Source organism: Homo sapiens, chromosome 18 (genome assembly GCF_000001405.40).
Source record: "Homo sapiens chromosome 18, GRCh38.p14 Primary Assembly".
Taxonomy (NCBI): domain Eukaryota; kingdom Metazoa; phylum Chordata; class Mammalia; order Primates; family Hominidae; genus Homo; species Homo sapiens.
In genome coordinates, this window is record NC_000018.10 from 53,406,453 (window position 1) to 53,428,503 (window position 22,051).

A 22,051-nucleotide genomic window follows, 5' to 3' on the forward strand; every position below is an offset into this window, starting at 1 on the left:
CCAGCACTTTGAGAGACCAAGGTGGGAGGATCACCTGAGGTCATGAGTTCAAAACCAGCCTGGCCAACAAGGTGAAACCCCGACTCTACTAAAATACAGAAATTAGCCAGACATGATAGCAGATGCCTGTAATCCCAGCTACTGGGGAGGCTGAGGCAGGATAATTGCTTGAACCCGGGAGGCGGGTGTTGCAGCGAGCCGAGATCCAGCTATTGCATTCCAGCCCGGGTGACAGAGCAAGACTCTGTCTCAAAAAAAAAAAAAGAAAGAAAGAAAAAAGAAAAAAAGTACAGGTACAGAAATGTAGTGAGAAACCAGTACATTTGTTCAACCTGTGTGGTTATATAGAAATTTATAAGGTAAGCTTCAATAATGAATTTATTATCTCTCAAATATACCAAACATACACATCCCAATGAAGTTGCTTGTTTTCTCTGAGGCCATTTTTTAGACTTTTGAATGATGAGGTCTGTTTCTATTCTCCATCTCAGTTCTTAAATTTTAAGAAAAGGGTAGGCTTCACCACATATATAAGGAATTTGCTCAGATACAATTTGGAATTGTCAGAAACTGATGTCTGCACCTTCAACTTTAGTTTGATCCCAGAGCTGTCATTTTTAAATGCTTAAGTGAATAATTTTACATAGATTAAAAACATAGTGAAGACAAATATTTTATCATCATCTGATAAATGAGGAGACTCGGGAATCAGTGCAGTTGACCTGGGATGGGGGCAAAATTCTCCAATTTTCCAGTTTCATCATGCACTTAAAACAGCCCATGAAAATTTTTAACGATTTCATTAAATATCTAAATGTAAAACTTATGTACTTACAGGCTAAAGGATTTCATTCAATAAGTGACTTTCGATACCTCTTATGTGAATATGATTTTATTAGATTTTTGGGGGGAATAAAAAAGTAATAAGATATGGCTCCTGAACTAAAGAAATGTTTTTATCCTTTTGAAGAGGTAGGACATGCACATAATAGAATATATACATATATATATACAAATTTTATATATATCTTTTATATTTAGCTGCATATATATATCTCCAGTGATTTTTATTCTGGATATATATATATATATATATATATATATTCACTATTACTCTCTCTCTATATATATGTTCAGTAACTTTTACATAGATAAAAACATAGTGAAGGCAAATATTTCATATATATCTATAACATATTTATCTTAGATATATTACATAGTAATATATGGATATTTATAGAAATGTATACTCAGAAATGTGTGTATGTACACACACATATATCTCCAGTAGCAGGGTCTTCTTTTTAATAGATGTGGAGATGTGGATCTTCATGGACAAGATTGGAGACTGCTCTGGTTCAAAGAATATGAGGCAATTTTATTGATGTTTATCATGGGGGCTGAATTACAAAGGGATGGACACACATGAGACAGAAAACAACTCCTTTATCAAACGATATTCATAATCCCTTTTGAATTTTAGAACTCCAAGTTTAATATTTAACAGACAGAAAGGTCATACAACTTTTTAAGGTTTGTGGAATTCTTTATGTTGGTAAGGCTTTTAGTTTCGAAGCTCTCAACATCTCAAGATATTCATATTTTCATCATTGACATCACAACAAATGCCAAAAATGTACAGATCCCACATATCCATTATGTCCCTGACCTTGTTGATCACAGTAATCATTTGGGGTGTAGATTACTGAGGTTACCCTTGACCTGTAGTATTAGAAGCCTATTGTTGTATAGCAATATTATCACAAATGTAGCAGGGTAAAACTGCACATATTTGTTATCTTATGGTTTTTGTGAGTCTGGAATCTGAGCACAGTTTAGCTTTGGGGTCTCTTACAAGGCTGCAAATTCAAATGTTCACCTGGCTGAGGTCTCATCTTTGGTTTCACAGGGGAAATAGTTGCTTTTAAGCTTATGTAATTGTTGTCATGGCTGTTGGCCAGAAACCACCCTCAGTTCCTGCCACAAAGTATTCTCCATTGGGCAGACGTCTTCATCAAAGGCGAAAGAAGAGAGTCGGGTATCTGCTAGCAAGGCAGATGTCATGATCTTATGTAACACAATTGTGAAATTGATATTCCATTGCATTTCCTGTCTTCTATCGGTTAGAAACAAGACTTAGGGCCCATCTACATACCGACAGAAAGGAATACACAAGGGCATGATATTACTAGAGGATGAGGATAATTGGTGGCCATCAAAGATTGTTTACCACATGTATTAAATCAACATATCCTGTCTTGGGGTCTGTATTTTATGATCTGTACCTATCCTTCAGGTAACTATTATGATTACGCAGATTTGGGAAATACCAAACCTAGGGGAAAGGTGAAAGTCAATACAAAATAGATGTAAGTTTTCAGCATTGTTCAAAATTTAAGAGAAATGGGCTTCCAGATGTTGGAGATTGTAACATTGCTTAATCCTACGTAATCAGAAGGACAAAATATCCAGTGACGCATCCCCCAAGCCCAGGCATAATTCTATAAGGCACTATGGGATTAAGTGATGAGTGATATAAAATGGCACATGTGTTTTTACTTTATTGAAGTGTATTACCATGTTTATGGAGAGGAGAGCTTGTGATTGAGGAAGGTTTCATAGGCCAGATATACCTTAAAGTAGACCTTAATGGATGAGTAGGATTTGGATGGAGTGAAGAAAGGTGGAATGGTGTGGGAATAAGCGGGAAGGAAGAAGAATCATGGAATGGAGAATAGTCTTCCTGTAGCGAAGGTTTGTGCTGAGATGTACATAGTGTGCATGGCTATTTTCTGAGTCTGAGAACCCTCTGACATAACCCTTAACCACTGCGAAGACCTGTGGGTGAAGGTCCCCAGTCCAGCTGGGACAAGAGGGACTCAAAAGGAAAGAATAGGTAAATCAAAGGAAGACACTTGTTCTTAAGAAAACGACTTACAAAGAATGTATTTGATGCATAAATAGAATGAGGGACACTTATAGCCTATGTTATATAGATAGCATTGAAGAATTGTGGCAGAAATGGAGATCAGCACGACATTTGTTTATCAATGACACCTATCATGAGCGCCTTTACGGTGTTATCTGGCAATATAATATAAAAGTTGTTGATTAATGTTTTTAAATTAGAGCTAGGTCACAAATTGGTTAAGTATAATGTTAGAGTATAAATATGTGACAGGAATCCATGAATTTGTTCGGGTGCATATTAGACTATCATGACTGAGTACACACAACTAGCACTCAAGTAACATATCCCCTAACACAGAAAATCAATAATACTATATAAACATAGGTTATTAATATCTGAGATAATAACTAGATCATGTACAGTTATCCAGCAATACTTATTTCTTTGACAAGCTAGACTGGACTGGGAGAAATAGTATACTGGTAAAGAATCCCATACATAGTCTGGTGGTAAAGAATATTGCCCAGACCTTTTACCAATCAGTTTGGGTCACCTGCAGCTTCACCGTCTGTGAAAGGAAAGCAACACCGCCCCTGGCAACCTCACTAAGTTGTTACAGTGATCAAATATCATTTATTTATATTACACTTTAAACATGTATAGCATTTTATACCTTCCAATACATTTTTATTAAGCACAAGCCAAAATAAATATTGTTTATTTTCATCATTGGACTACAGGGAAAATTATACAGACTTGTTATCTCTGTTTTACATTTTTCATCATGCTTTCATATTAGAACAAACTAATAATCAGGATTTATAGGTAGCAGAAAGCACACATTTTTAAATGTGGCAGATATTTTTACTTCTAACAGCTTATTCTATTTTCTGATTCTGTACATTGCAGCAATTATTTATCTAATCCTTGCATTATGAAAAAAAGACATTACTTACAGAACTGCTGTAGTTTACAGATTGTGGACATATAATAATTATTGTAAATTACATTTGGGAAACCTGGGTGTTTGGAAGCAGAACTGCAGCGTGTAGGACACCAAATTAAGTCACATTTGTCTATTTATGCAGCTTACATCTTATTTTATACCTTGGACAAGAACATCCCAATTGATGACTGGATTATGGAAACAATCAGTGGTGATAGGCTTACTCATCAAATCATGGATCTCAACCTTGATACTATGTATTACTTTCGAATTCAAGCACGAAATTCAAAAGGAGTGGGGCCACTCTCTGATCCTATCCTCTTCAGGACTCTGAAAGGTTTGAATAATTTCCTATTATGCTTTTCTTTTCCTGTGGGATTGTTATAAAATAGCTTTGCACTCTGTGTTAGAAATGGCCCTGCACCATCTCTATTAGCAACATGGCTGCAGTGGACATTCAAAATAAATTAAAATGTAGCTTTTTATGCTCAAAGCCGACATATCAAAGAAAGATCTGCCATCAGCACATGGCAAACATATTTAACATGACTTTTTTCATTTACAGTCCTGCTAGAAGTTTATTGATGTCATGTATATTGGTTCTATTCAAAATATAATGAAATGCTTCAGCCATTTTATGTAAGGGGATAAAAATTAAAATGTATTGAATTATGTGAATAGCATACTATTGCCGACTTTAGGTATTTTCTTTCAGGTACTATTATCCCTTATATATTAAAGAAAATTTTGATATGACAAGACAGAAAGTTCCAAACCAAAAAAAAAGTCTATTTATTGTAAAGAACCAAGGTAGAAACTATAAAAAAGTTGCAATATGATATCTAGAAGAAAAAATGTTCATACAGAGAAACACTAAAGCTGAATAGTAGTGATTACATCAAAATATTTTCATGTAAGTACTTACTATTTTAGAGCACAGTATTATTTTTCTGGGGGACAAATGGTTTGAAGAGTCATTTAACAATTGAAAATAATTTGAAACATTCAAATGATTACAATAATTTGAATGTTTAATTCATTTAACAATTGAATAATTTGTAATAAGTTTCACAACTAATATTTAAAGTTGTATATTTAAGGCATGATATGTGTTGTTCTAAAGAAGGATAACTTAGCTCTTAAATCTGTGACCACATCATACCTCTATATCTGGCAGAAATCTTAATACATGATAGTAAAGTAAAAAATTAGAAACACACGTATGATTGGCTTCTTCTGTTTGACATACTAAAAGAAGAGTCTTAGTATAACTGTATAGCCTATTCCTCAAATCTTCTAGGAAAGGTACCCTAGTAAATAAGGGACTTTTGAATTCTGATGAGTGAGCTATTCAAAAGCTGGGTTTTGGTAGCAGCTAATCTGAAAATTTGCCAACAACACACAAGCAAGCATTCAGCCAAAGCTTGCATGACAGTTCTTAATGGCGGAGTAGAAGTTGGGAGGAAAGTAGGATAGAAATGAGTTCATCTTTGTCATCTAAATTTTGAGGACTTCATGTCTAAATCAGGTTTCACTCCAAATGAGCAATCAAAAGGCAACTCGTTATTCATTTTGTGGCAGCATGAAATGTAACTAGATAGTGTTTTGCAAATGCTTCATTTTTATCTATAGATGAGTGCCAAATTAATTTCATACTCATAATGTTTGCCAACTGAGAGATCTGAGGAAAGGTTGAAGATGACTTAAGGCATCCAAATGTGTTAAACAGCAGAGTGATGAGTTATCATAAGATTTGCAGGCCCACATTGATAGCCATCCCAGGAATTGTTTAATGAGCTCAGTATTTCATTTGGTACTGTTTACCCTAAGTGCCCTAAACACATCTAGAAAACTAAGAACAAGTTCAGGAATTTGTTCTATGACATAATGGTTCAAAGAGTTATTTCTAATACCCTGATTTGAAGTTTAATATTGTCTACCCTAAATGTCATGCTCGATAATAGTCAATTCTATTTTAAACACATGTTGTTTATATGCTAAAATAAGTTTTTGATCATTTAAAATTACTCAGAAATATTGATATTGGTCACTTTTATTAATAATTTTGTACATGTATACATCTTACAAGACACCTACAATGGCAAATGTTCTAAGACAAATAAATTACTCATCATAAGAGATTTCAAGCTACAACATAAGCATTTTAAAGATTTGGTGTAGAGCCAAATCTACACCAAAGATAAAATCATGCTATTGCTCTCTGATTTAAGATTTTCACTTCCCAAAGCTGCAGCAGAGCATACTGTGCTCATCAGAATGTAACTTTGTTTGCCTGAGACAAAGGCTTAGATGTCCCGAAGCTGAGAAAACTCCCAGTACTCACTGGGTAATGGGCAAGTATTTCATAGTAATGCTTGTGCCAGGCAGGTGTCCACGAACGTCATTCCTTCATATTTAGCCTTTGCAAGGATCGCAGCATTTTATTCTAGAGGCTAGCATTTGGTCTTTTTGATATTAACAACCAGTCAGAGAAGTACAGGAAACTCAGTCAATAATCACTGTTTAATTAAAAGGACATTTGTAATTAGAAAGGGATTATCTTACTGTAAACTTATGTAGGTACACATATATGATGTATCTAATTCTTTCTTTGGAATGTTAATTAAAAGAATCTTGACCTTGATTACTTGACCACATAGGAACCTGCACATACCCACCTTTCCACTAATCCTCCCCAGGGTCCCACTGGGATACATACACACTGTCAAACTATTGGAAGACTTATGTCTATCTCTGCCCTATCCTGTGGGTTTTTCCTGCTGATAAAGCATGCTTCCCCATGCTGGCCTATCGGGTAATAGAGAGGAAGGATGCTCCCAATGGAGTAGACCACAGAGGATTCTGGTGGAGGGAGGGAGTCACTTCCTACACACAAAAGAGTGGTATTCAGAGTGAAAGCCCAATAGAGTACAGTAAATTCTCTGGGCATCCTTAGTCATCATTCTGAAATGTGCCTCTCCCCTATCCAAGAATATAGCACTGAAAGCTTTGGACCAGTATAGAAAAAAGTTCTAGTCGTCAAATTCTTTTATGACAAAAATACATGATTTTTCTTGACAAATGATAGAAACATATGATAGAAAAAAATCAAGGCACAAATGTAAGCCATTTTTGTCTCTAATAAAAGGTAGTTATGAGAATCCATATGGTCCCTGTTGGAAAATACTCTTCAGTAGATAACATTTTGAGACATTCAAAATTTCTCAAGTTCTATTCAGTGCAGCTTTGCTAGTAGAAAAATAAATTCAAAAGATAAAAATGAGAATGGGTTTGTCTATCATTACATGTGGTTATTTATCCCTTGCTAAAAATATCTTAGACTGCAGACAATGCATGTATATGATTAAAGATAAAGGGCAGACAAAGAATGGAGATAAGGGTGGTAGTCTCGTCTTTTTTGACATAATTCTAAAGAATTCTCACCTAAATATGAGATGCTGATGAGGATAGTTTCTTAAATGTGTCCCAGTCTGGCTGCCAAACCTACATACTTCCTGGATTGGGTGGGCACTTATGACCTTGACATATCTTGTCAAGGATCAGGTCATTCTTGCTGGGGACCTGTAGCACTTCCAACAACATACTGTCCTTTCTCAACAGCTGTGTTAGGATCTCAGTTCAAAATCGTATTCCTGTCCATAAGCTACATATAATGCAACTGCCTGTCAAAAGCATCTTTATCAATACTATAATAAAACACTATAATAAAATGTATTTGAGAAGCCATTAATTTTCAATGGGAAACAGAAGAGAAACTCTAGATAAAATTAAACTGTGGTGATTAAATTAAATGGCTGGTAAACCTTTAAAAATGTTTGTTAAATCTTGACAAGGTACAAGATTTCATAAAACTTATTTAAAGCTTTCAGAGAGCACCAAATTCTAACCACTAGCCCATCAGAGAGTGTCAAGATAAATAAATTCTGCAGCTCTACTATGCAGCATAGTTCCTATAAATAATATAACTGTATTATGTACTTAAAATTTAGTAAGGTGGTAGATCATATACTGTGTTTTTACCACAATAAATAATAATAATAATAAAATGGGTGGGAGGAAACTTTGGGAGTTTGGGGCAAGTCTGTGGCTTTGAAGGTGGTGATGGTTTCATAAGTATATCCTTACTCTCAAATTCATTGAATTGCATACATTAAATATGGGCAGCTTTTTACTTTTCAATTATATCTCAATAACTTTTTAAAATAACGCTTATAGAATTGTAAAATTATAAACATTGGCCGGGCGTGGTGGCTCACACCTGTAATCCCAGCACTTTAGGAGGCCGAGGCGGGTGGATCACGAGGTCAGGAGATCGAGACCATCCTGACTAACATGGTGAAACCACATCTCTACTAAAAATACAAAAAATTAGCCAGGCGTGGTGGCACATGCCTGTAGTCCCAGCTACTTGAGAGGCTGAGGCAGGAGAATTGCTTGAACCCAGGAGGCAGAGGTTGCAGTGAGCTGAGATTGCACCACTGCACTCCAGCCTGGGTGACAGAGCAATAATAAAAATCCTGGTATATGTAGTGTTTCCCAAAGAGTAATTCACAATTCAAAATCTACTACTTATCAAGATATCTTTTCATAGAATATGTGTATATGTTATGTTTAAATGAAAGAAATTGTAATTGATTTCTGATTTAGAAATCACTCTTAGGATGTAATAGACATAAACCCTGTTCATCTGAAAGGGGCTTTCGTTAACAGAATCAATATCTACGTATTTCAGTTCTAAACATTCTTATTAGGCAATGATTTGTGCTGCTTTATTTAGAAAAAGAAGGACCACCACCTGTAGGGCGTTTAAGGTATTTTTCAAATGATGATTGATTTGCTATAATAGCGCCACATCTGATGAGAGACTGTATTATCAGTTGCTGCCTATTATATTTTCTCTATGTGAATTTTACTGAGACATATACAGGAAGCAATCGGCAAGTGTTGTATCCTACCTATCAAGTTTGAATGGAATCAAGTGAGTTAAATACGCCCAAAAGACTCAAAGCTCAAAGACGGTCAAGTCTAGGTAAAAATAATTCTACTAGTAATTGAGGGAGGGAAGCTTATGAAGATCTGCCTTGGTCAAAATGCCATGTAATTTTCAGAAATGTGATAATACTAGAGATTTACCTCTTATTTAGTTTCATCTGGTTAGCAGAAAAAAAAAGTCATCTTTAAAACAAAATTTAGCAATTTAATTTTTATATTTTTAAATTTAAATTTCAAAAAGTCATTTTTGAGACTATTACTTGTAAGTCCTCTGAAGTTGTCAACAACAACTCAGGAGCTATCTTCACAAGGGCTAAAGTTTATCAAGATATTTAGATTATATTGTACCATATTTATGGTTGCCAATTATTTTACCCAGTCTATGTGAGAATTGGTGAAGTTGTTTAAAAAATAGTCACATACAAGAAAATAGCTTCCTGAATTTTCTTAAATATATATATGGGTGATAATTACTTGGTAATTGCATGCAGTTTTTTTTTACTGTTAATTCTAGTTTTAATTAAATTTATATAATTGTTCTCAGTTTATGTTTAGAGGGATATGAAAAGTAAGATAATTTTAGGATGAATTTGTACAGCAAAAACATTATTTTCAATTTTTTTTCTCTGAATACTTATTTAATAGAAATAAACATGTAAGTTTGGGTCCTTATCAATTTTATTTCAAGAGGGCACTAGCTTTGAAATAAAAACTTACTAAAAAGAACTGTTGGTTTGATATGTCAGCTTTCTTGCTAGGAACTGTCAAAGTCTAATAATGTTATTTCTTTTTCCCCCGCAGTGGAACACCCTGACAAAATGGCTAATGACCAAGGTATGGTGGCTCAATCTGTCATTTTGTGTTCCTTGAATCAATCCTGTCTGTTAGACATGTCAGTCATTACTTTATATTCCTCTTTTCACCTGGACCATACACCTGATGAAGCAGACACTGGCGTGACGATTAATCTTGTTAATGAAGTTCTGCTTGGCTGAGGCTGCGGCTCTGATAAGGAAGATGTAAATTTTCTTGAGAGGAAATTGTTTTGTCTCCATTCTGAAGGACCAATTAAAATGTCAAGCTTCTTTGTATGAAATAAATTTTTAGTCTCTGTCTGCACTTCTGAATAATTCACATTAAGTATAATTAAGCTCAGCATAATTTTCAAGCTGCTCTTGCACCCTTTCCTGAGCTATGGATTAAAGTTCTGTAGCTCTACAGAGAAAACCCGTAAATTATGTGTGATTTTCCTCTGCAATGAGCTTCTTTTAATATATAAAATCAAAGTTGGGTCACCTTTTTTAGGGCATTATCATTGTTCATTTTGAAGCCAGAAAGCTCTTATTCAGTGAATCAGATGCTCATTTGACTCACAGCACAGTATTTTCTCCCTTTTCCTTATTTATTTACTAAAAGCTGATTTGTATAGAGAAACAGGTAAAGTTTTACACAAAGGCAAAATGGAGATAAATAAGAGTTATCCATCAACTTATAAGTGGATATGAACTTACTATTACCGTGATTTGTAGACTGATTGATAAATTAGGATTCCGTTATCTTTACACAAAGGACAATTAGTAGAAAGCTGAGGGAGACAATGAATAGTTTATGAGTTTTATTTTTTTGAGGATGTTACTTTCTTTCCAGAAGAGTTAGGAAAAACTATAAACTGGTTGTAGTCAGTGCTGTCAGTATTTGTAGATTGAGAGTCTGCAGTTCATATAGTTTGTTTCCTTCCTGCTTTGGACACCTACTGTGGGCAGTGCTTACTTGCAAACGTGTCTCATAAGGCACCATGTCGTGAGATTAGGGGAATGCTTTCTTTCAACAGGAATACTTTTTAACTTTTGACAAATACTAAGCCTCTGGATGCTGGCTCTCCCTGACAGCAGAATGCTTCCTGCATGAGTAGCATTTTCTTCAGTGGTCCTGTGTTTACATTCTTCTCTGGCGATGTATACTATGCAGCTGCTTAACAGAACATGGCTAGGGGTTTACGTGGAATAATTGAAATGGGACTGTGCACAGCAATGGCTACTCAGGGTTAAGGTTTTCATTAATCTAGCTGCTCCTACTTGCTTCCACTGAAAATGTTTTCATACAATTAATATCTACTAAATGAGATTTGTAAAAAATATTAATGATGAGTAATTATCACTTGGCATGTATTTACATAGGTAACTTAAATATTAGTCTTGGTCAAATCCAAATCTGGAATAGTTAATAGCACCAGCTTTATTATTGCAGTTATAAAACAATTGAAACAACCTCTCATAACCTTCTTTACTTAAATAAATTTGAAGCTTCCGTAGACAGATAACTCCTAAGTTTTGAAATTATATTTTAAAATAATAGAGAAAAAGATTAAAATAACTGAACTAGTTGAAATGTCATTATTAGTCACTTAGTTGACAACAAACATGTCCAGGCTTCTCAATAAATGGCTTTCCACTTCTCTCTGGGTACTATTATATTGTTTTTTCTTTTGTTAATTGCTTTTAGTTTTTTAAGGTAACTGTTTTGCATAATATTATTTTAAACCACCACACATATATTCTGTAAATTGATTATTTTATGAAAGGCAAATGAGTAAATTATTTCCCAGTCCCTATGATCACACATCCTCCATGGATTTTACTTTGAGTCTCACATCTACAATAAATCAGGCTAGTTCTCAGGAACAAAAGGACCCCCTCAAGAATTACTGCCAGTGGCTGAGTCCATTAATATATTTAGTCAGTTGTTCTTTTTCTTCATCTAATATTACTCAGAAGGATTCTGTCACATATGTAACTTGGAGCCATATTCAGTCATGGTTGGCATGTAGTTAGTTGATCAAGTTGATAGGTTCTAAATTTTACATCAAACTCAATTCACTTATAAAATTGAGAGGGACTGATGACATATAATTTAGTGGTTATAAATAATATCTTCAAATTCTTACAAAGAAAGCATATAAAATTTGCTGCACCCTCAAAGCACGTTTTATAAACAAAATCAGTCTTCTGAGTTGATGACCACATGCATGAGAAATAACCCAGATTAAAGATCCCTCTAAGATTGATGAAAATAATAGGAAGAGGCTGATCTTAATACTCCCATTCCCAGAACACAGCAAATTAGTTGAATATGTTTTACCATTCCCACTGTTAGACCTATTTGCCCCCTTCTCATGGAGAAATGATCCCACTATTACATTTATGACAGGAGCTGAGTTTCTGCTGAGAGAAAATTCCCTCAGAGAAAAAAATGTGGCATCTGGGGTCAGAATTAACCTTGCAAAGATGAATCCTAAATAAAGAAGCAAGAGGTTGAATTTGACTTATATGAGAGAAAGTGAGACCAGTTTTGATTGTCCTAAAAAAAGTATCTGTTCAGATTCTTGTCACAATTATTATTATTTTAGGGATTGAAGATCTGCCATGAAGAACATAAATGTGAAAACAATAGTCATTTGAAATGGTTTTGATTTGGAGAAAATATTTTCTTCTGAGCAATGGTATAGTAGTTGTTTGACAATGATAGGCAATTAACATAGAACCCCTGATTTCTTTATGTAATTGTAAATTGATGAAATATAGCATTTTTAAAACTTTCTAATCTTGACCACCTCTATAATTCTCCTTTTTTGCATCACCCTATCTCTTGCTCCATATCCTAATTATTTCTGTAGATTCTTCCAGGCACAGGTGGCAAATAAGTTGGGAAGTAAAAGAAATTTTAGAGATAAACCAGAGTTTCGTTTTTTGTAGGGTTGGGTAAGGAAATTGCACAGGCTCTATGAAGCGGGTGCAGAGGTTAGATAGAAAATCTATGCTTTAAAAATTATTTTTAATTTTTGTGTCTACATAGTAGGTGTATATATTTGTAGGGTACATGAGATGCTTTGATACAAGCATACAGTGTGAAATAAGCACATCATGGAGAATGGGGTATCCATCCCTTGAAGCATTTATCTGTTGACTTACAAACAATTCCATTACACTGTTCATTTAAAAATGTACAATTATATTATTGACTATAGTTACCCTGTTGTGCTATCAAATAGTAGGTCTTACTCATTATTTCTAACTATATTTTTATACCCATTAATCATCTTCACCTCCCCTCTCCCCAGCCCCCCACTACCATTCCCAGCCTCTGGTCACCATCCTTCTATTCTCTACATCGATGAATTCAATAATTGTTTTGATTTTTGTTTTGACTTTTGATTTTTTCCCTTTTTTTCTATATTCTGATTAAAACTCCTTCAATTTGTCTGTGCTGTTGTGGGCCTATGTAATGGTAAAATGAACCGCTATGCAGCTCTTGCCAGCAGTCACTGTTTTAAAAGCTTTACAGGAGTGACTCACTTAATTCTCGTAACAATACTGTGAGAAAGGTATTGTCTCCATTTTAGCAAGGAAGAAAGTGAAGCTCAGAGAGATGTTATTTGTCTATTGAAACACAGCTAGTAAGTAGAAAGGCCATAAATCCAACCCCAGAAACCACATTCCAAAAGCCTTTTTTTTTTAATTATTCTATTTTTATTTATTTTTTTTAATTTTTTGACACAGAATCTCACTCTATTACCCAGGCTGGAGTGCAATGGCACAATCTTGGCTCACTGCAACCTCTGCCTCCCAGGTTCAAGCGATTCTCCTGCCTCAGCCTCCTGAGTAACTGGGATTACAAGTGCGTGCCACCACACCTGGCTAATTTTTTTGTCTTTTTAGTAGAGACAGGATTTCACCATGTTGGCCAGGATGGTCTCAATCCTCCTGACCTTGTGATCCGCCTGTCTTGGCCTCTTAAAGTGCTGGGATTCCAGGAGTAAGCCACCATGCCCCACCCAAAAGCCCTGATTTTAACCATCAACTGCATGACAACAGATATGTTACATGTATATAGCCACACATTCACATTCGACGTATAGCTATAAAGTTGCTTTAACTGAAGTTTTGTTTGCTGTTATTTGTCCTATATAGATCTTCCTTTTCACATCTCTGAATATTCTAAAGAACAAGGGAAATAACTCTCAATCTGAGGTCATCTTGTTAGTGGGGTGGCAACAGCGCTGATTACATGATCCTGACACTTCTTTATTTCAGGAAACAGGGATGGTGATAATTCACTGTCTAAGCCAGCTTGGGTTGTCAATACAAAACGCTATATACTGGGTGGGTTAAACAACAGAAAGTTATATTCTCAGAGCTCTGGAAGCTGGAAGTCCCAGATCAAGGTTCAGTGTGGTCAGTTTCTGGTGAGGGTCCTCTTCCTGGCTTGCAGGTGGCCTTCTCGCTGTGTCTTCCCGTGGTGGAGAGTGACCTCTCTGGTGTCTCCTCTTCAGAGGACACTAATCCTATTGGATTGGGGCCCTACCCTATGATTTCATTTAACCTTATGATTTAATTACTTCCATAAAGGCCCTATATTCAAATATAATCATATTGGGGGTTAGAGATTCAATATACACATTTTTGGGGAAGCAATTCAGTCCATAGCATCCACATTTAAAAAGAAAGCTGTTATTTCACTCCTTCACTAATTTTTTCCCAGTTTTTCAGAAGCAGAAGGTAAACATTTTACCCAGGATCACAGAATTAGCTGTTGGCAGAGTTAGAACTCAAAACTTTTCTTTCTGGTTCCTAGAGTGTGCAGTCTTTCTACTGTAAATGGTTACTATATTTAAACATTTGATTTCCATTCTTCTAAAATCAGCTCCAACATTTTAGTGTCTCACAGAAGCATTTTAGAAAATCCCTTTGTTTTGAGTTTGCAATGGAGGTTAGCTGTAACTCTGAAACATGACTGCTTCTTAAAAGTGATTATTAGATCAAACTTTTAAGGTATTTTTGTTTGCATCGTTATGTCCCATTTAATGTCCAAATATTGTTCTCCACTTTGAGATGTCTTTGTATGAAAATCGATATTCTTAGCATGAGCAGAAATGTTTACTCTTTCATGTGTGTTTCTACGTCTGCTCATTGTAACAATAGGTGCTATGGCGATGATACAGTACCTTAAAGTGGGCAGGATTCTCATGAAGTGATTTTCACCATTGCTGAGATGAATTACAAAGAAAATGCTCACTTTGAGCACTCTCAAGTGTATTTAATTCTCCATGACCTGGAAAAGGGGTGATCTGAAACACTAGACCTAGAGAAGAGGCCTACGTACATAGGGCAGTTTACAGATCCAGATAAAGACAGCCTGCTGTAAACTGCCCGCCCAACAAGGAGGAAGAATTACTCTCCTGTGAATTGTGGTAATGGCTGATAATGGTCTAGCTTTTCATTTGGAAGTCACTCAGTGTGTGCTATAGGAGCACTGGAATGGAATTAGATACTTTCAGTTCTAGCACAGTCCTGCCACTGGGACCTCTTGTGTAATGTTGGGCAGGTGACTTAACATCTCTCAACATCCTCACCTGTAAAATGATAAGTTCAGACTAAATTATCTTTTGGTTTCTTTCAAGATTTAAGATTCTGAAGTTTTAAGGTTGGTATTAGAATAAAAACTCAGGCATAACATCTTTGCATAGTGAAGCATCTCACATTTATGGCTTTTCCACTATGTGTCAATTACTCTTCTATGCATTGTGCACATGCAATCCTATTTGATTCTTATAGCACCCTTACAGATGTAGAAAAAGAGACAGAGAGGTTAAAACTTGCCCAAACACTCACAGTATGTAAGTGGTGTGAAAGTTGATTATACAAAATGGAGTCACTCATGTCATACCCAACTAAAATGGAGTCAGGAGGTTATAAGGAAAAGCACTCAGATCACATACATTTATTCCAGGAACTGTCTTGTGAGACTAAACCCAAAACTTCAAGGACCTGGTCATGATTCTAAGATTCCACATCTTACTTAACACCTGCTGACACTCAGCAGCTCCTGGAAGACACTACCAGCACCAATTAACTTACTTTCAAAACAACTTGCATAACCTTCCTCTATTCCACAATAAAACTCCGCCTTTCCCTTTATTCTCTAGACTCACCTGGGGCTACCTTGGTTTGGGTGTCCTGAATTGCAATTCATATTCTCAAATACCTTCTTCGCTCAGAGATTCACCTCTATGTATCTTTATTTTAGGTTGACAGTGATTAGGCCCAGATACATACCCAGGCTACCTAACTGGAGAATCTCTGCTCTTGACGTTGTGTAATTTCTGGAAATGCAGACTCATGATCTGTCATCAAGAAAGTTATACCTAAATGGCATCACCATAAGTTCACCTAGTTTAAAGGACTTTGTCTTTCCTTAATAGGGTATTCAGGCAAAGTACTTAACACTGCACCTGCCATTTTACACCTCAGCAGTTTTAATCTCATGAATAAACAGAATGTTAATTGTTTCAAATTTCAGGGAAATAGGGTTTTTGAGGCAGTCTAGTCAAGCTTGGAATTTAGTTAATGTAATCCAGACTTTGCAGGGTTTGGATTACAGCAGCCAGACTGCCGTTTGAAAAATGGAAACCTTTAGTGCCTTCTGATGGGAGCTGTTTAATTGAAAATTAAAACCTCTTCTTACCCTATTATTGTGCATAGTTTCAACACAGTTTATTATTCGGCTGCTTGCTACACCCACTTGAAAAAGCTATTCTCACCTGGGTTTTTCACAGGTTCAATTCTGTAAATTAGGACTGTGGTGAAACAGTAGTAGCAGAAAATGAATAATGTGCTTTTAATGGAGTGTTAAGGTGCTTATCATGTTCCCAGCAAGCAGTCAAGTAGCTGCCTATGTCAACTTCTCAGCAGTTTTCATGTTTTAATAGGTAACTCTGAAGGAACAAAAACGTACTCAGTACTCATAGGAATTGATGTGATTCATGGGATAATTTTAACCTTCTCACACCTGTAAGGTAGACATTTTTGTTTATACACTTCAAATAAAATTCCATAAACAGGTTCTTCTTGTAAGAGCCACTGTATTTTGGATGCCATTTCCTTGTACAGATATTGGCCAAGTACACGGTCTTCCTAGCTTTATTTTCTGCCCACTTCAATCAGCCCTAGATTCTGCCGCTTCAATTTTCTTTCCAAAACAGATGGGTCACTGTTGCTTTGGGGATGAGTCAGTTCTTTGACATCAAGAACCTTGGCTATCTGACTGTAACGTCTCTTTCCTGGTGTCATGGCCAATAGATCCCTCCACATATGCCACAATCACAAATCACCCTGGAAAAAGTGCATTTTTCACAACTACATGCTGTAATGTGTACCATTTTCTCAGCCTTAGCTGTGCTTTCTCTCTTTCTCAACTAAGCAAAGTCTTCTTTGAGACTCCCTTCTCAATTTTACTTTTTTCAAGAATCCTTTCTTACCTTTCTTGTCTTTTATTCACCTGTATTTTCATAACACCCATCCTATTTTTATTGTGTTTTCCATTTCTTCTTATACTTTGCTATTTATATTCTTAGCTTCTTGACCAGATTTTAAATTCCCAAGAACAGAGAACTGGCTAGATTCTTCACATTGTCATCCCTACCTCCCTAATTTAGAATTTATCCTATTTTAGTTGTCTGATAAGTGTTTGTTTAATAGAATCATAACACAAATGTTTGGGGAAGCAGCTACAGAGTAATCTGGAAAGATAAGTTTTACCATTGAATGAAAAGTGTAGATTGGACAGCTCAAAGTAATAGTGCACATGGCTGTGTATATTGGAGATTTACTGATCTTGGGGGAGACGAGAAGTTATGCATATATTTCCAACAGGAAAAAGTATATTCAATAATCACCTACTAAAATAAATGCTAAATAGAAAAACAAGTTCTCTGTAATTCAGCTGATGGTAGTTACATTTGTAGATGGCTACGACCTCCTGCACTCATTTTGTGACCTCCAGTCTTGCTGTCCTTCCTTGTTAGCAGAAAATTTATAGATTTGAATTTCACCAGCTGCTTGGAATTCTGAGTACAGAAAGGAGAAAATCAAAACTAATGGAAGCTGATAAGTTTGTTAAAATTGTGGCTATGAAGTATGAAAAGAACTAGACTCACTTTTGATAACTTGTGGATTACTATGTATCCAGTACTGTGCTGGCACTAGAAACATTAGAAGGAAATGGTCCTGGCAAAGCATTAGAAGGAAGTATGGTTCCGTGGGTCCATTTTCAAGAAGCTTGCAATATAGTTAGGAGGAGGATATTAACACTTCCAGTCCAGTATGAAAAATACAAAATGCCAAATCAGATGGTACTGTCTACATGTGTATGTTACGGGATTTCAGATAAATCATTGTGGGCTGGATTAGAAAAGACTTCTTAAAACCTAAGACTGGGCTTTAAATATATGAGTAGAACTAGACTCAATGCAAACTATTACCGGGGGAAGAGTAGCTGATCCCTTATGTAGAGAAATTCTAGGATGGAAAAGTTAGGAAGCCAAGATGCTGGGAAAATAGTGAGGACTACAGGATGGGCTCCAGGAACATTTAGGATATAATTTGCTCAGGCACAAACATATCTCATGCCTACCTTTGCAGAGTAGTACCTTATGGCAGAGACCTATGTTGGTGAAGAGGCTTTTGCTATTTCTCTCTGCTCTAATGTAGTAGTTCTGGGGCTTTCCTACTTTTCAACATATCAGCTAGCTATTGTCTACACTGGCCAGTGAAGGCCTGCCTGCTCCCTTGTATCCCGAGCCCTGGAAACCCATCCACTCTTGGTTGCTGATATTGATCATTTCCTGCTTGGAGGGGTGTGACTGTGGGATAGGGAGAGAAAAGGATGATGGGATGGGAGTAGGAATGGGGCCTCAGTAGCAGTCATCTTCAAAGAATTTTCTTGGCCTTTTTTTTTTCTTTTTAACCACTTCTGTTGTACCTTTTCTGAAGTGGCAACTTCACTTTTTCCAGTACTCTGCATGGTTACAAGGAAACTATTTTTCATTCTCTGCCACAGCCTTGTTTTGTTCTGCATGTTCAATTGAGAATAGAGCCACCATCTCAAGTCATACATACCTAAACTCTCACTCTTACACCCCAAGACCAACTCTTTGAAGTGCTCTAATTTCTGTCCACAATTTTCCCCGTTTCTCCTCTCTTTTTTTTTTTTTTTTTTTTGAGACAGAGTCTCACTCTCTCACCCGGGCTGGAGTGCAGTGGCATGATCTTGGCTCACTGCAATCTCTGCCTCCTGGGTTCAAGCGATTCTCCTGCCCCAGCCTCCCGAGTAGATGGGATTACAGTCCCCTGCCCCACTATGCCCGGCTAAATCTTGTATTTTTAGTAGCGGTGGGGTTTCACCATGTTGGCCAGGTTGGTCTCGAACTCCTGACCTCAGGTGACCTGCCCGCCTCGGCCTCCCAAAGTGCTGGGATTACAGGAATGAGCCACTGCTCCTGGCCCCCTATTCCTTCTTTTAGTTATTTATTCACCTATAATGCTAAAATCATCATCATCAGAGTCATACAGTATCAGCCACTTCAAATGAAACCCTGTGTTTATTCATCTTTCTGAGCTATAGTTTTCTCAGCTATAAAATGGGGTTAGTAATGTCTGCCTCAGAGATGCATAATTAATATTGCCATATTTATTGGAACAGTTTATTCTGATCCATTTAGTTCCACAGTCATCCAGAATAATCTTTCTAAAATATATGTGTAATTAGTCAGAGTTTTGCTTAAAATATCTTCAGTGGATCCCTATCCTCTATAAAATAAATTCTAGACCATTTTGCAGAGCATTTAGGGAGTTTTATTATTGTACCTCTGCCTTTTTTTTCTAAGCTCATCCACCTCACGGTTCTCTACCTAATAAATCAAGACAGATCTTTATCTGTCCAGCTCCTTTGGTTCCCTAATTTTTGCCTTTTCAGTTTTTGTCCACTCTCCCTTGTGAGACATCAAGAATGTGGGAATGAGAAGTACTAGAATTCACAGGAGTAACCAATGTGTTTCTTAAAATATATATGTATGTGTCTGTGTATTTATATATTTATATATAAATACATATATATTTATATATTACATATTTATAATATATATTTATAATATATATTATATATTTATAAATTTTATGATATATATTTATAATATATTTTATGATATATATTTATACTATGTTATATATCATATATATTTATGATATATATTTTTATGATATATATTTATATATTTATATTATTTATATATTTATGTAATATATATTTATTATATATATTTTTATATATGTATATTTTCCCCCACTGGTTGGCCTGGCAAAGTATACTGCTTTTACTTTGGTGCTTGCAAAAAGAATTCTCACCTCACATGCCACCTCCTCTGAGAAACCTTTTGCTAGGCATAAGTAGATAATCATCCTGTTTTTCCACTGGGTCACGTGTTTGTTTGTTTTCTTTTTTTTGAATTTTTGGAAATTACCATATGGTTGTAAGTATTCACTTAACATTTTCCGTCTCACTGACTTACAAACTTCTGCAATAGTCATTTTATATTCCTAATGCTTAGCACTGTGAATCTACTTAATGCATTTGTTGAGTGGATGGATGAAGCACGGATGGAGACATAAATGATGAAATACTGTGCTCCAACAGTGTCGTTATCTACACAGACTAGCAGGGCACCAGCAGGGTGCTCATGTTCTAGTGTTTTCAGACTGCAGCTGCAACTTCCAGATCTATAGTCACTTGGAGGAGAGAACTCTCTCATCCTCTTCTGCCTCTTCTTCCCGGGATGCTTGGCAAATTTGCTCAGGCACAAACATATCTCACACCTGCCTTTAGGATAAGCTTGTGAACCACGCAGATGGGGGAGGCTTTTATGGATCATTCCGTGGCCTTTGAGAACAGATGCTCTTTTATAAGCCAAAAAAGATTGTCTCATTCTTTATGTTGTAGCCTGGCAAATGAACTAGCTCTTGGAAATATCTAGTCATCCAAGGCAGTGCCCATATTTGGAGGAACAGAATGCTTTTTAGATTTTAATAAAGACTAAGCTGCATATAAAAGTGGTTTCTTAGACCCCTAGGATGACTGTTACTTCAGATATACTAGAGGCAAGTGTGCATAAAAGGAGATTCCAATGACAGGAAGGACTTCAGAGACCACCATCTACCACCATACTACTGATATTATGAAGCCATCTTTATGTTTTATTCTATTAAGAATTCAATTGTTATTCAGTTGTTTCATTCCTAACTTGCATGAATAATAATTATAATAACTAATAAACATATTGGGCTTTAGCTGTGTGGAAGGTTGTGACAAGGGTGATCAGGAGCAGCTGACAAGTTATCAGCAGCCGGGCAAGGGAGATAGTCAAGTGTAGTTATTGTCACATAGGTTAGAACTTATCATCTTTTCTCACCTGAAATCTTTAAGAAGGAGGTTAACTACTTTCCTGTTAACAAAAGATCTTGATCTGTCCAGCTCCTTTGGTTCCCTAATATTTGCCTTTTCAGTTTTTGTCCACTCTCCCTTATGAGACATCAAGAATGTAAGAATGAGAAATAGTAGAATTCAGAGGAGTAACCAATGTGCTTCTAAAAACAGAAATATATATAATATATTAATATATGATATATAATATATATATTTCTTTTTATATATAATATATAAATATATACATATATAATATAATAAATTATATATAATATATAATAATATAATATATAATATAATATAATATATTATAATATATAATATAATAATATAATATATAATATAATATAATATATTATAATAATATATAATATAATACTATAATAATATAGAATATATCATATAATAATATATTATAATAATGTGTCATATATCATATAATATATTATAATAATATATAATATATAATATAATATAATAATATATAATATATAATATAATATAATAATATATAATATATAATATAATAATATATAATATGTAATATATAATATAGAATATATAATATTATATATAAGTATATATAATTATAATTATATATATAATTAATTATATATTTAATAATATATTATATAGAATATAATAAATTATATAGAATATAATAATATATAGAATATAATATATAATATAATATAATATATTGTATATAATATAATATATGTTGTATATAATATAATATTATAATATATTGTATATAATATAATATAATATATTACATATATAATATAATATATTACATATATAATATATTATATTATTTTATATATATTATATAATATATAATATATATTTTTTATATATTTATATTG

General features: G+C 35.0%; 1 protein-coding gene across 5 annotated transcripts in view; it reads left to right on the plus strand.

Annotated features, from left to right (window-relative positions):
* DCC (DCC netrin 1 receptor) overlaps nucleotides 1–22,051 on the plus strand; it is a 1,195,703-nt gene that overhangs the window by 1,066,256 nt on the left and 107,396 nt on the right. For all 5 annotated transcript variants that reach the window (NM_005215.4, XM_017025568.2, XM_017025569.2 and 2 more), the window contains 2 exons: nucleotides 4,000–4,194; nucleotides 9,672–9,704. In NM_005215.4, coding sequence (NP_005206.2) covers nucleotides 4,000–4,194; nucleotides 9,672–9,704 — 228 coding nt within the window. The remainder of the gene's footprint in view (nucleotides 1–3,999; nucleotides 4,195–9,671; nucleotides 9,705–22,051) is intronic.